The 12,534-nt window shown below is 49.2% G+C and overlaps 1 protein-coding gene across 4 annotated transcripts in view, besides 14 other annotated features; it reads right to left on the reverse strand.

Annotated features, from left to right (window-relative positions):
* The window catches only part of PREX1 (phosphatidylinositol-3,4,5-trisphosphate dependent Rac exchange factor 1), a 263,934-nt gene that overhangs the window by 89,678 nt on the left and 161,722 nt on the right, over positions 1-12,534 (reverse strand). For all 4 annotated transcript variants that reach the window (XM_047440333.1, NM_020820.4, XM_047440332.1 and 1 more), the window contains one exon: positions 12,361-12,462. In XM_047440333.1, coding sequence (XP_047296289.1) covers positions 12,361-12,456 — 96 coding nt within the window. In that variant the 5' untranslated portion in view covers positions 12,457-12,462. The remainder of the gene's footprint in view (positions 1-12,360; positions 12,463-12,534) is intronic.
* Positions 2,150-2,359: an enhancer, noted in NCBI's record as "active region_18027". NCBI's record gives its function as "activates an Ori minimal core promoter by ATAC-STARR-seq in GM12878 lymphoblastoid cells {active_cell/tissue: GM12878}" and the evidence as "EXISTENCE:reporter gene assay evidence [ECO:0000049][PMID:35858748]".
* Positions 3,195-3,254: an enhancer, noted in NCBI's record as "active region_18028". NCBI's record gives its function as "activates an Ori minimal core promoter by ATAC-STARR-seq in GM12878 lymphoblastoid cells {active_cell/tissue: GM12878}" and the evidence as "EXISTENCE:reporter gene assay evidence [ECO:0000049][PMID:35858748]".
* Positions 4,155-4,214: a silencer, noted in NCBI's record as "silent region_12985". NCBI's record gives its function as "represses an Ori minimal core promoter by ATAC-STARR-seq in GM12878 lymphoblastoid cells {active_cell/tissue: GM12878}" and the evidence as "EXISTENCE:reporter gene assay evidence [ECO:0000049][PMID:35858748]".
* Positions 5,221-5,400: an enhancer, noted in NCBI's record as "active region_18029". NCBI's record gives its function as "activates an Ori minimal core promoter by ATAC-STARR-seq in GM12878 lymphoblastoid cells {active_cell/tissue: GM12878}" and the evidence as "EXISTENCE:reporter gene assay evidence [ECO:0000049][PMID:35858748]".
* Positions 5,591-5,860: an enhancer, noted in NCBI's record as "active region_18030". NCBI's record gives its function as "activates an Ori minimal core promoter by ATAC-STARR-seq in GM12878 lymphoblastoid cells {active_cell/tissue: GM12878}" and the evidence as "EXISTENCE:reporter gene assay evidence [ECO:0000049][PMID:35858748]".
* Positions 7,002-7,101: an enhancer, noted in NCBI's record as "active region_18031". NCBI's record gives its function as "activates an Ori minimal core promoter by ATAC-STARR-seq in GM12878 lymphoblastoid cells {active_cell/tissue: GM12878}" and the evidence as "EXISTENCE:reporter gene assay evidence [ECO:0000049][PMID:35858748]".
* Positions 7,574-7,683: an enhancer, noted in NCBI's record as "active region_18032". NCBI's record gives its function as "activates an Ori minimal core promoter by ATAC-STARR-seq in GM12878 lymphoblastoid cells {active_cell/tissue: GM12878}" and the evidence as "EXISTENCE:reporter gene assay evidence [ECO:0000049][PMID:35858748]".
* Positions 8,504-8,553: an enhancer, noted in NCBI's record as "active region_18033". NCBI's record gives its function as "activates an Ori minimal core promoter by ATAC-STARR-seq in GM12878 lymphoblastoid cells {active_cell/tissue: GM12878}" and the evidence as "EXISTENCE:reporter gene assay evidence [ECO:0000049][PMID:35858748]".
* Positions 8,644-8,713: an enhancer, noted in NCBI's record as "active region_18034". NCBI's record gives its function as "activates an Ori minimal core promoter by ATAC-STARR-seq in GM12878 lymphoblastoid cells {active_cell/tissue: GM12878}" and the evidence as "EXISTENCE:reporter gene assay evidence [ECO:0000049][PMID:35858748]".
* Positions 8,736-9,636: an enhancer, noted in NCBI's record as "H3K27ac-H3K4me1 hESC enhancer chr20:47339203-47340102 (GRCh37/hg19 assembly coordinates)". NCBI's record gives its function as "activates a minimal SCP1, AML or CMV promoter by ChIP-STARR-seq in naive H9 embryonic stem cells {active_cell/tissue: H9 hESC(naive)}" and the evidence as "EXISTENCE:reporter gene assay evidence [ECO:0000049][PMID:30033119]".
* Positions 8,736-9,686: a biological region, named in NCBI's record as "H3K27ac-H3K4me1 hESC enhancer GRCh37_chr20:47339203-47340102".
* Positions 8,754-8,833: an enhancer, noted in NCBI's record as "active region_18035". NCBI's record gives its function as "activates an Ori minimal core promoter by ATAC-STARR-seq in GM12878 lymphoblastoid cells {active_cell/tissue: GM12878}" and the evidence as "EXISTENCE:reporter gene assay evidence [ECO:0000049][PMID:35858748]".
* Positions 9,516-9,686: an enhancer, noted in NCBI's record as "experimental_60619 CRE fragment used in MPRA reporter constructs". NCBI's record gives its function as "activates a minimal promoter by MPRAs in K562 erythroleukemia cells, with activity observed for the non-introgressed 20:47340068 or rs138858092 variant allele {active_cell/tissue: K562}" and the evidence as "EXISTENCE:reporter gene assay evidence [ECO:0000049][PMID:34662402]".
* Position 9,601: a transcriptional cis regulatory region, noted in NCBI's record as "Neanderthal adaptively introgressed variant 20:47340068 (GRCh37/hg19 assembly coordinates) or rs138858092 in the experimental_60619 CRE". NCBI's record gives its function as "modulates activity of the experimental_60619 enhancer by MPRAs in K562 erythroleukemia cells {active_cell/tissue: K562}" and the evidence as "EXISTENCE:reporter gene assay evidence [ECO:0000049][PMID:34662402]".

Below are 12,534 nucleotides of genomic sequence, written 5' to 3' on the forward strand. Positions count from 1 at the left end.
TAAATCCTTACATTTATGGTCAGTTAATTTTCCACAAGGATGCCAAGGCAATTAAATGGACAAAAGAACTGTCTTTTCAACAAATGATGCAACTGAATATCCATGTGCAACAAAATGAGGCTGGCCCCTTCCTCATGCCACACACAAAAATGGACTCAAAATGGATCACAGACCTAAATGTAAGAACTAAAACTATAAAACTGTCAGAGAAAACACAGGAGTAAACCCCTTGTGACCTTAAGTTAGGCGAAGTGCTCTTAGATATGACCAAATGCACAAGCAACTTAAAAAAAATAGATAACGTGAATTTCACCACAATTTAAAACTTCTGTGCTTCAAATGACACTACCCCAACGTGAAAGCCAAAAAATAAATAAAATTTAAAAGGAAGGGAAAAGACAATCTGCCTAATGAGGAAAATAGTATCAATTACACATCTGATGAGGAACTTGTACCCAGAATATGTAAAGAACCCTTACAACTTAACAACAAAAAGATAAATAATACAAGTAAAAAACAGGCATAGGACTTGAACAGACATTTCTCCAAAGAAGATACACAAATGTCCAATAAGCAGATGAAAAGATGTTCAACATCATGTGGGAAAATGCAAAACAAAACCAAAATGAGATACCACTTCACATCTACTGGAATAGCTATAATCCAAAACATGAATAACAACTGTTGGTGGAGATATGAAAAAAATAGAGCCCTCCTACATTGCTGGTAAAAATATAAAATGCTGCAGCAGCTTAGGAAAGCAGTTGGGCAATTCCCTTGAGACACCATGATCCAGCCATACCTGAAGCCATCTATCCATGGCTTGTCAGTTATGTGAGCCTATTTATTTTTTACATATATATGTTGTGTAAGTCAGCTTGGGCTAGTTTTTCCATCTCTTATTTGAAAAAGTTCCTACTGCTTCACAGTCTCAGAGGGAGTGCACAGATATGGAAACTCGAAGGTGTCCCAGCTGGTCTCAGACAGGCATAAAATGTGGGTATCTTCAAAGCCAACGAGAGCTTGAGCGATACTAACAAAGGTCTAACATGCGAAAGGAGGGAGGTGAGAAGGCTCCTGCCCAATTCAGAACTGAACAGACTGTACTAATAAATCAGAATAGAGTCACATTCAAAGGAGACATACTATGGTACTGAAAACCCTGGAATCCATATCCAAAGTGGAACAGATACATGAACTTCCAGGGTTTGGCCCAGAGAAGAGTATTTCTGGAAGGAACCCAAGAGGTGCTTGCTTGCTTGCTTGCTAAGCGTCTTGGGAGAACTACATGACTAAGAGGCCCGGTGAATCTGTAAGACCTCAAGGAGTCCAATGGGACCAGTGCAAGAGACCACTGTTTGAATGAATTAATCCATTCTTACACCACTTGGAGCTTTCTCGCAAGAGAGAGGGCTACCTTGTAAGGTAGTAAGTTCCCCATCAATAGAAGTATCAATGATAGATTCAGGCCCACTAATGCCTTATTCTAGCTCAAACCCATTATCAGATGATGAAACTGGAGAGCTCTGTGGTCAAGAGAATGGGTGCTGGGAAAAGGGAGGCATGGTCTCTACTTCGCCTCCACCACATCTCAGCTGTGGGGCCTTGCACAAGTGGCCTCACCTCTCTAAAGCCAAGTGTGTGCATCTGTGAAGGAGGCTAAGACTCACCCCCTAAGGCTAATGTAAGGATCCAATGGGGTGATGAATGTAAAAGTCTTGGTACCCAATAAGGACACAATATTTATCATCATCGTCATTATGTCTGTGGTAATAGTGGCTATTTCTTATGATTTCTGCATAGTAGGAATAATAGTGAAAATAGAAGTCGTGGTAATAGTCCTAATAGCTAGCATCTACTAAGTACTTACTGTGCACCAAGCACTGCTCGAAATTTAAGTGTATTAAGTCATTTCATCCTCGAATCATCCCAGTGAGGTGGGTACTATTATCATCCCACTCTATATATAAGGAAACTGAGGCACAGAGAGGTTAAAACCCTCTTGCCCAAGGCCACAGAGACAGAAAGTGGGACTTGGCAGATGCCAACCACATCTACAGGCCCCTCTAGAAATAGTAATAGCTGGAAATGAACACCTCCAAATCAGACTCTTAGAACACAAAGTGTCTAAGTAGGGCAGGTCCTGGGGATCCTTTAGAAAAACTGAGTGCAGGGAAGAGAGGGGTGTGCCAGGGCTACCCTGTGAACCAGCAGCATTAGCCCCTCCAGGAGCCAGGCTGATGGCCTTCCCCAGCATCCGCCCCTCGAGTCCTGTGTGGTTTCGCGAGTGGGGCCCCAAGCGAAGGCTTCCTAGAAGAGAGGATGTTGGCGCAGAGAAGCCTGGGCTTCCGCGAGATGCCTCACCTCCCTCTCGCCCCTGCAATCACATTTACTCAAAGGATGTCCAAAGGTGCCCGCTCTGAGCAGCCCCTTCATGTCCCCAAAACTGTGTCATCAGCTCCCAGCATGGCCGTAAGAGGCAGCCTGAGGCGCAGGGCCTCAAACCCAAGGGCAACAAACAAACGTGGCTAGAGCCAGCTCCTACTGGCTCACTCAGCTTCACCGAAGGCCCAGCTCACTCAGCCTTATCCCAAGGCCCAGGAGAGGACTGGGGGAAGAACAAAGGGCTCAGAGGAAGAGGAGGTGGTAAGGAGAGAGGAGGATGAGCTGCAGAGGTCTACTGCTTCCACCTGCTCCTCTCTCGGGCCATGGAGTCCAGGAGAGGTCACCCCAGCCAGCTCCCAGTGTGGATCTGTGACTAAAGCCTGACCTTCCATCCTCCCAGCCACACAGGGAGAGTGTGGGACCCATGCTGAGCCGGTGGGCCTCAGGCTGGGACTTCCTACGCAAACGCTGGGAAAGGCATGCTCTCCTCTCCCTGGGTGGGTACACTGGTCACACACAGGCCTGAGGCTGCTGGTGACCAACGACGCCACTGTAAGAAAGCAGCCTCCTGAGCACAAGGCTGGCACTGAGGGAAACACAGCAGGACATGGACAGACGGAGTCAGGATAGTATCGCCTGAGCCCTGGATGCAGCTATGCCTGAAGTCAGACCTACCCTTGGTCTTTTCTGTTTTCTATTCTTTTTTTAAAAGTAAGTTTAATTAACAATGTCATAAAAACAATAAAGTAGATTTTCAGTCACTGGCAAGCGAAATCATAAGAAAATGAACCCATAAACCCACAGTGTGAAAACAAAGCTGCAATTGTCACTGGAAGATGTGATAATACCCACCATTCTCTGTGACTTGGGGTTGGTGGGGGTTGGAAAGCCATATTGTCCTCTCCACAAAGAGAAAAAGGCAGGAGGGTGGTGTCACCAACAGGGTCTGGGTCAAGCAGAACAACACCAACTTTCTGGGGACACCTCAGCCAACTCCAGGAAGGGGCTGATCCTGCACTCAGTGACTTGCCTCCAGTCACACAGGCCTGCCCAAGGCTCTGCCATCTAAGCTCAGGAAGCCTGGCTTGCTCCTGTACCCACAGTGCTGAAGTCCCCTGCGGCCATACCTAGGGTGACAGCAGAATGCAAATGAAGAGGTGCTAAGGATACCCACCACCACTTTAAAAAAAAAAAAAAAGGAAAAGAAAACAAGAAGCGAAAAACATCTGGAAGTCCAAGAGAACCCAGAAGTGAAGAGCTCCCCAGCATTGCAAAAAAAAACCCACAAACACCCTGCATGCATGCAAATCATATGCAGACTTCATGCAAATGTATTTCCAATTTTAACAATTTCAGCCTCTGCTGCATGTCTAGGAAAACTGTAGTCCCACCAATTAGGAATTAGCAGGAGAAAGGAAATAATGCTCGTGGGTTTTAAAAACTCCTTTCTTCTACTCAGAGAGGAAAGGGGGGTAAAGTGGGAAGAGGGTTCCTATCAGGAAGTTCCTGTTCTGGCTTTGATGAGGATGTGCTGTGTGACCTTGGACAAGTTGCCTCCCCTTTCTGTGCCTATGCCTCTTGGGTATGCAAGGTAGTGATGAGACCAAGCTAAATGTTATCGCCAGCCTCTGTCAGCAAAGCAGAAGCTCTGGCCACCCTGGACTTGCGTTTCCACCTTACAGTAACAGTTGGCTGGGCTGAGCAGTGGCTGTTCCTTAGAAGGGATGTGTGTCCTCTAGTCTGCCACAGTTCCCACCCAACTCGCTAAGTTACAACCACCCTACTCACTCGTTTCCTGCACGTGCCCTGCAGGTATCTGTGTTTGTGACCCTAGGGTGGTAGGTCTCTACTGACCCTCCAGGCTCTGACATTCAGGAGCTCTATATCCAGCCTTTCAAAGAGGCCCTAGCACGGCTCACCGTGAAGTTCTACACCTCTTGCTCCCACTTCCAGGCTCTGCACAGGCATTTCTCTAGAGAAAAGGGTAAAATGGTGAGAGATGGTGGTGATTGATGGTGATGGTAATGGTGGTGGTAGTGGTGATGATAGCTATAAATTTCAACTTAGTGGAAGCAAAAATAAATAAAAATAAAATAAATAAAGGAAAAAGAGCAACTAAGCCAAAGAAACTAAAACAATCCAAAATAAAACACGGAAAGACGCAAAAGCATCAAAAAAAGAGGATAAACAGAAATCAAAAAGAAGGACGGCAGAACCAAGTTCAAATATATTAATAAACACAATAAATATAAGTGGACGAAACGCTCCTGTTAGAAGATATTATCAGATCAGATTTTAAATTGAACTCTATGGAGTTAACAAAAAAAGCACCTAAAGTCTAAGGATTCAGATAGGTCAACCACAAAAGGAGAAATAAGATATTTCAGGAAAACACTAGTCAAAAGAAACTTAATGTAGTTATATTAATATTGGAAAAAACAGACGTTGAAACAATAAAAATAACTAATATTAAGCACATCTCAGCATTTTACAGATATTTTTCATTTCATCTTTATAATAACCAATAACTAGGGCACTATTTCACAGGAGAAAACTGAGGCACACAGAGTTTAAGTCAGATTTCAAAGAGGCAATGCTAATAAGGTCAGGAGCTAGGATTAATAAGCATAAAAACCATTACAATATTTGAGTCACCAACATTTAACAAGCATGACCATTTACTCAGTAGTATGCAAAATGCTTTCATGAGTTTTTTCATGCATTGTCTCATCTGATCTTCACAGCAAGCCTGGGAGGTAACTACCATGCCCATTTTACAGATGGGAAAATGGAGACAAAGAGAGGTTCAGCAACTTGCCCTTGGTCACACAGCTAAGAAGTGGAGTTGGACTTCCGAATTCACTCTTAACCACACACAGTACAAGAGAAAGTAGAATCCAGGTTGGACCCCACAAAAGGTGATCTAGGAAGGCTCCTTCGAAGATGGGGCAGCTGAGCATGGCTTTGAAAGGAAGAGGTGATGGCAGGACCCCCCCCCCAACTCCCCAACAAGGGGTGTCCCGAGGTTAGTGCTCACCACACAGGAAAGAGCCTAAGCACAGGCTGACACAGGTTGAGTCTCTGGGGCAGCTGTGGGCGAGGTGTTGGTGCTCGGCCCGAGAGACAGGATGAAGGGGTGGGCACTGTGGTTGGGGGAGGATGGGGTCAGGGTAGAGGGGGCTGCAGTGAAGAGATCTCTGACTTCCTGTGCTTTCTCAGCAAGACGGTGACAATGCCCGATCCCCAGCAGATGAGGAGCTCACTGCATAACATCAGTCAGACAAAAACTCCAAAGAGATAACCCAAAGTATCCAGAATAATAGAAGGACTCTGGGAAATCAAAAGGACAATTGTCCAATAGAAAATGGGCAAAGGATGTGAAAAGGCAACTCTCATGAAATGCACCCACCTCCACTGCCACCACCAGGTCAAGACATCTCCTACCCGAACCACTGAAGCCAAGCACTTTCTGGTCTCCCTGACTCCATCCTGACCACCCCACGGTCCATCCTCCACACACAGCCAGAGGGACCCCATTAGAACTAAGGCAGATCCCATTCCTCCCTGCTCAGAACCTTCCCATGGCTCCCACCTCACCAAGATGGAAAATAAAGACCCCACGATGGCCCACAAGGCCATACCTGACCTGGCTCCATTACCTCTCTAACCTTACTCCCTCGCTCTCTCCCTATCCTCTTCCTTTCCAGTCACCCTGGCCTCCTCACTGTTCCCCAGACACACCAGCAACAGTCCTGCCCCAGGGCCTTTGCACTGGCTGTTCCCTCTGGAACAATTTTCCCCAAGGTACCTGCTTGACTTCCTCCTTCACCTCTTTCAGGTCTTTGCTCAAATGTTTCCTTCTCAGTCCAGCCTTCCCTGACCACATTATCTAAACCTGCAACCCCCTGAGTGACTCCTGGTCCTTACTGATCTTCTGAACCTGATATTTATTTTTTCCACAGCATCCAAATATTCCATCTAAACAAGCATACACATTTCTTACTCATTTGTCACCATCTCCCCCAAGAAGAATGTCCGTTCCAAGGGGACAGGGGTTCAAGCTGGTTTTGTTCACTTTGTACCTCTAGCACCTCAAGCAGTGCCTGACACATAACAGTTGCTCAATAAATAGGTGGTGAATGAATGAATGGCTTCAAAAACCCTAAACACTGCAGCACCAACCGTGGCTGTCTCTCAGAGGACACTAGGAAGACGGAAAGGGATTTGCTAAGAGAGTAGTATTCTACTGTGTGAGTCACTGTTTTTTAATGTTGGCTTCTCCCCTTCCCCCTCCACCCATCCTACATAAAGTCTGCTCTGGTGCCACCTAAAATCTTCTGGAAAGCTATGAGTAGTATACGTCCATGCTCCGGGAAACACGTCACTCCCAGTTGTCCCCCTTCACCGAGAATTGAGGTCAACACCTCCCTGGCAATGGACCTCACTCAGTCCATCCCAGGAGCGCGGACCTCAGTATCAGCCACTTTCCTCCCAGCCAAGTAGACAGAGGTAACAGCCGAATGACAAGGTCCTTGCGCTGCACTTGGGTGACAGCTGCATCACCCACAGACAGACATGGGAGGTGCAGGAGACACCAGCGGCCGTGCACAGACCCAAGGCTGTACCCCAAGCAGCCACTCTGCAAAAAACCTCCCTGGATGCAACCCCACTAGAGCAGCTGTTCCGAATGGACAGGTCCCAGGATGTGTCCTGTTGGGGCCCACAGTGTTTAACAAGTTCTGAATCAAGCTGATACTTGGACATAAGTAACTTTCACATAAAAGTCCCAATTTCTGGATTCAGAAACAGTTGGCAAGAAGACAGGGGTGGCCTTTCCACATTCATTCAATAAGTGACCAGGGGTATCTACCCTGTGCAGGCACCATTCCAGGCACTGAGGAAACAGGCCCATATCCCTGCCCTTGGGGAGCTGATGTCTCAAAATCAATCAGGACACCAAGCGTCCCAGGACAGAATGTGAGCCAGCGAGCAGTGCTATGAAGAAAAATAAAAGCAAGGTGAAGGGGACAGAGAATGGCAGAGGCAGCTCCTCTATCGCAGAGGTGGCCAGGGAAGGCCTTGGGCAGGAGGCACTGGAGCAGCAGAAGCCTGACAAAGATGAAGAGTGAGCCTCAGGAGACATGGGGTAAAATGTCCCAGCAGAAGAAAGAGCAGGTGCAAAGGCCCTGAGGCAGAAACCTGCTTGTTGTGTTCAGAACTTCAGGAAGCAAGCCTGGCTGAGCAGAGAAGATGACAAGGTCAGAGAGGAACATGGGTGAGATCGGTAGGACACTGCAGATGGCAACAGCAAAGAACTTGGACCTTACTCGGAGTGAGCAGAGAGTCCTGGGAGGGTAGTCCGGGGAGGAGTGACATGAACTGACTTCAGTTTAGCTGCTGAGCTGGGAGCAGCCTGCAGAGGACAAGAACAGAGGCAGGGAGGCCCGCTGGGGCCGTGGCAGTGTCCCAGCATGGGGGAAGTGAAGGCATTCGGAAACAGCTGGACTCTGGACAGAGTCTGAGAGCAGAGCCGACAGGACCTCCTCATGGCGAGACATGGGGGTGGGGAAAGAGGGACACCAAATGTAATCCCAAGGTTTGGCCTGAGCAACCAGAAGGACAGAGGGGCTGTCTGCTGAGCTGGGGATGGAGGGGGTGGTGGGGAGGTGGTCTGGGGAAAGGCATGAGTATGCTTGGTAAGAGATGCCTGCCAGACACTCAAATGCAGAAACTCAACGGGCCGGAAGACAAGCCCAGGGTCTAGGGGAGAGGTCCGGGCTGAAGTCATCCAGGTGGAAACGGAGTTTAAGGCCATGGGAATGTCCACACAAATCCTGTACATGGACCTTCAGAGCAACATGACTCACAATAGCCAGAAAGTGGAAACGACCCAAATGTCCATCAGCTAATGAGTGCATAAACACAACGTGGTCCAGCCACACAACGGAAGATGATTCAGCCACAAAAAGGAAGGAGGCACCGACACGCTCCAATGTGGCTGAACCTTGAGGACATGAGCCTAAGTGAAGCCAGCCAGGCACGAAAGACCAGCACTGTGTGATTCCACTTGGAGGAAATATCCAGAATAGGTGAACTGACAGAGGCAGAAAGTAGACAAGTGGTCGGCAGGGGCTGGAGGAGGGGAGGATGGACAGTAAGTGTTTATAGGTCTGGGGTTTCTTTTGGGGGTGACAGAAATGTTCTAAAATTATTGTGGTAATGGTTGCACAACCCTTGAGTATGCTTTTTTAAAAAAGGCCACAGAGTAGATAAGGCCACCACAGGAGCAAGTCTAGATGGGTAAACAAACGGCCAGAGGACTAAGCCCAGGGCCCATCTCTCCTCAGAGGCCCCGGAGATGAGGAAGCAGCAAAGGAGACCAAGATCAAGCGGCCAGAGAGCTGGGGGCAAAGGTGGCAACTGCCCCCTGAGACAGGGTATGTCCCCTGCAGTCAGCCCCAGGATGTCCCCTGCCACACACTCCAAGCTCCTGCAGGGCCCAGCCCAAGTCTGGAAGCTCCAAGGGGCAGGGCCCGGGTCTGTCTTGTTCTCAGCTGTGGACAGTGAGCAGCGACACAGATGTGTGCATCACCAGGAAATAACTAAGAAGATCAGTGACAGTCAGGCCCCCCACCGGCACCAGCCAGCTGTGCACCAGGGGCATTACCCCAAACCTGAATCATTCCCCTGGCAACGTGAATGGAAAAGTCAACAAAGCCTGAAATGCCAACTGCCTATCCTGGGCCTCGGCTGAGGAGTCGAGATAGAATGTTCCAGCTATTCTTAGGCAACGTTCAAGTTCAGCTTTTGGGGGCTGTTCCCAAAAAGGCTTTCATTCTCGCCTCTTCCCTCTTCCTACCCAGGCTCCTCAACATTGTGTGCCCACCCCAAGTGGGAGTTCAGCTCAAACAAGAGGGCTCAGAGGGCCACGGGGACCCCTGCAAGGGCATCTGAATCTGGAGAAGCCAGAGGGGGTGGGCTGGGGGGTTGAGCTCAGCTGCTTCAAGTTCATGGGATCATCTTTGAAAATCCACTGGAAAATGTGACAGAAAGAAGGAACTCCGGAGGTGGGGGGGACAGAATTCCCCTGAGCCCCGGGTGTTTGCTGATGCAAATGTTCCCGCTCTGGGGCCAAAGGCCGGACACACTGAGGAGTTCTGTCAGGCGGGGAGCAAGGCATGGCCCCAACGGGAGTCTAAGGCCCTGCTTGTTCTCTCCCAAACAGCACCCCCCACCCCACAATCTCCTACTTGATAAACACAGCTAGAGACCAAGGAAACAAGGCGTGCCCCGACGGAGCGCAAGTGGGCAGAGTAAACAGCCGTCTGGCCAGGAGAGCAAACCGCAGCCACCCCATCGCTTTTCCTGCGGGCCATTTCCTCCACGGGTCGCCGGGCGGTTCTGCCCCTGCTCTCTCTGTTCTCCTGGGAATCCAGAGCCCAGGAATCCCACCAGACCAAACTCTGGCCCCTGGGGAGATGGGAACAGGCCTCAGAAATGCCTGGGCCTCACATCGAGCCTAGAGTCCACCGTACACACAGGTCCAGCGACACCATGTGTTAAAATATGTCACGGAAGCTGCAGCTCCAAGTGCCTGCTGGAACCCAGACTTTCGCAAGATCCAGAAACCAAACCTCAGTTCAGCTCTGGGCCATGGCTGCTGGTTCTTCTTATGGGTCAGATGTTCAAGGTTTTGAAACGCAGAGAAGAAGGACACTGGCCTCAAAACACAGAGCCACCGACCTTAGACGCCATTTAGGGAACTGAGAAGGGCAGCATCGCTGACACTCCAGCACTTTGGCAGTTTAACTCCCCAAAATCCTTCTCAGCAGGCAGTAGAGCCATATGGTTAGGGGTGGTCCTCTGGAATCAGAATGCCCGGGTTCTAATCATGATTCTACTGCTTATCTACTACGTGGCCTTGGAAAGGCCACTTCCTTTCTCTGTGCCTCAGCTGCCCCATCTCCAAGAGGGGGCTAATCACAGTGCCTACCTTGCTGAGTTGCCGTTAGAACTAAGTCCATGCTTACTTGTCATAACAACCCCGTAAGTACCATTAACATGAACCCTATGTTTCAATGAGAAACTGAGGCACAGGGACGGATAGTGACTTGCCCAAGGTTACACACTCGTAAATGACAGAGAAATTCAAATCCAGACTGCTTATGGCTGCAACGGCTGACTCTCATCCAGGGGTCAGCACATTTTTGCTGTAAAGGGCCAGATGGTAAATATTTTAGGCTCTGCTGGCTACATCCACTCTCTGCTACATATTCTTCTGGGGTTTTGCTTGTTCGTTTAACAAAGCTTTTAAAAAAAAGAGTAAACATCATTCTTAGCTCATAGGCTGTATAAAAACAGGCCATGGGCTATATTTGGCCCAGAGGCCACAGTTTTGCCCACCCTGTCTCTAACCACTACAGTACACTGTCTCTTAATGCTGGTAGCTAATCCAAGTTCGAAAGACACATCACACAGATCACACAAAGCACATCTGCAGGCCCGATTTGGTCCACAGGCTACCAGTTTATAAGTTTCACCTGAAGCTTCTTCCACAACCAGGTGAAGACCTGAGCTACAGCATTTCTAAGACCTATCTAGGGATCGAAGCCATGGCAACAACAAGTGCTGAAGTTCCTTTCGAGATTGCTGGGAGAGATCAACAGCAGGAGCAGACCAGAGGAGGCATGGGAGAGCTGCGTCCCACCCCCACGGCTGCGCACAGCAAAGTCCTGTGTTCGTGGGCAGAGCTGATGGCCCCAGGGTCTGGCCCAGTTCAGAGGCTCCAGCATCACCCACCTTCTCCAGCAGAAAACCAAGATGAAGAATGCCCTGGTACCCTTCCCCTCCCCTTTTGCTTCCAGTTCATGGAGCAAAAATACACAAACCCCTGTGAGCAGGTGCGTGAATGAGGCCCCACCAGCCAAATTAATCCCCCCACAGGGAACCTAAAACACAGCTGCCTTCAGGACAGAGCCAGGACAGGCTCCGGCCAATAGCCATTTTGTTCAGCCATTTCCAAGGGCTGAAACCCTGGGCTGAGAGCAGTGGAAGGCGGAAGAGCCGTCCCCTGGGCTCAGGATCTGTCCAGCAGCCAGGCTGAAGCCTAGAATCAAGACTTCTCCATCCCCACAGAAGCAGCAAACCTTCCCTGCTTTGCCCAGCCAAGACAAAGCCAGGGCTGGCGGCAGGGAAGGAAACAGCAGGTGTATGGAAGGCTGCATTTGCCCAGCCAACACCTATGCCTGCCCTCACCCTGCCTTCCACAAACAGCTCAGACTTTGGTCACGTGGGGTTCATCTGTCCTCACTCATGGCCTGTGGGACCTAGTGATTGGTTCAAGGTTGGAGCACATGACCCAAGTCTGAGCCAATTAGAATTCCCTTGCTCAAAATGATTGGTTCAGGAGTGCAGCACCTGACCCAGGTCTCAGCCAATCAGAACACAACACTGCCCTGCTCACTGTCATTGGATCAGAGTGGAGTGAGACCATGTCTCAGCTAATCAGAGCACAGCAATAGTGATTGGTTCAGGGGTAAAGCACGGGTCTAAGCTGACTGGAGGATGATAAATGGTACATGCAAAGGCTTCATGTAATTTGTCCAGGTCAAAGCGCATGACTCAGGCCCAAACCATTTGGCATATGACCTTCCCCTGGCTGCAGATAGCCAAAGACAGAATGAATCTCAGGACTTTCCTCAGCTCTTAGTAGAGAGGTTCACTCTTTCCCACTGACCTTAAACTTGAGAGGATGTGAGGCCAGGAGAACCACAGCCACCTGCTGCCACACTGAAAATAAGCCTGAATGGTGGAAAGCAGGGTGAACGAGAGAGAAAGAGGCAGGGTCCTGGTTTAAATCCAGCCCGGCCCAAAGCTGACACTGCTGCTAGACTTCTCAGATACTTGAACTAACAAATTTTATGTTATGCTGAAGCCAAAGAGTTTTCTGTCACTTCAAATACGGGAAAGTCTCACCTTAAGGAGGAGCGGGTACTTGCAGATCCTCTGGATCGGAGACAACAGGTAGCCTTCCAAAGGGATGTCCGTGGTCTTCCGGCCTCCCAGAAGCATGCAGCTCTGCAAAGGGACAGGAGACCTTCATGAAACCCACCAAGGATAGCACAGGGACATAGCCACCCTCAACCATGA

This window comes from Homo sapiens, chromosome 20 (assembly GCF_000001405.40).
Source record: "Homo sapiens chromosome 20, GRCh38.p14 Primary Assembly".
NCBI lineage: Eukaryota > Metazoa > Chordata > Mammalia > Primates > Hominidae > Homo > Homo sapiens.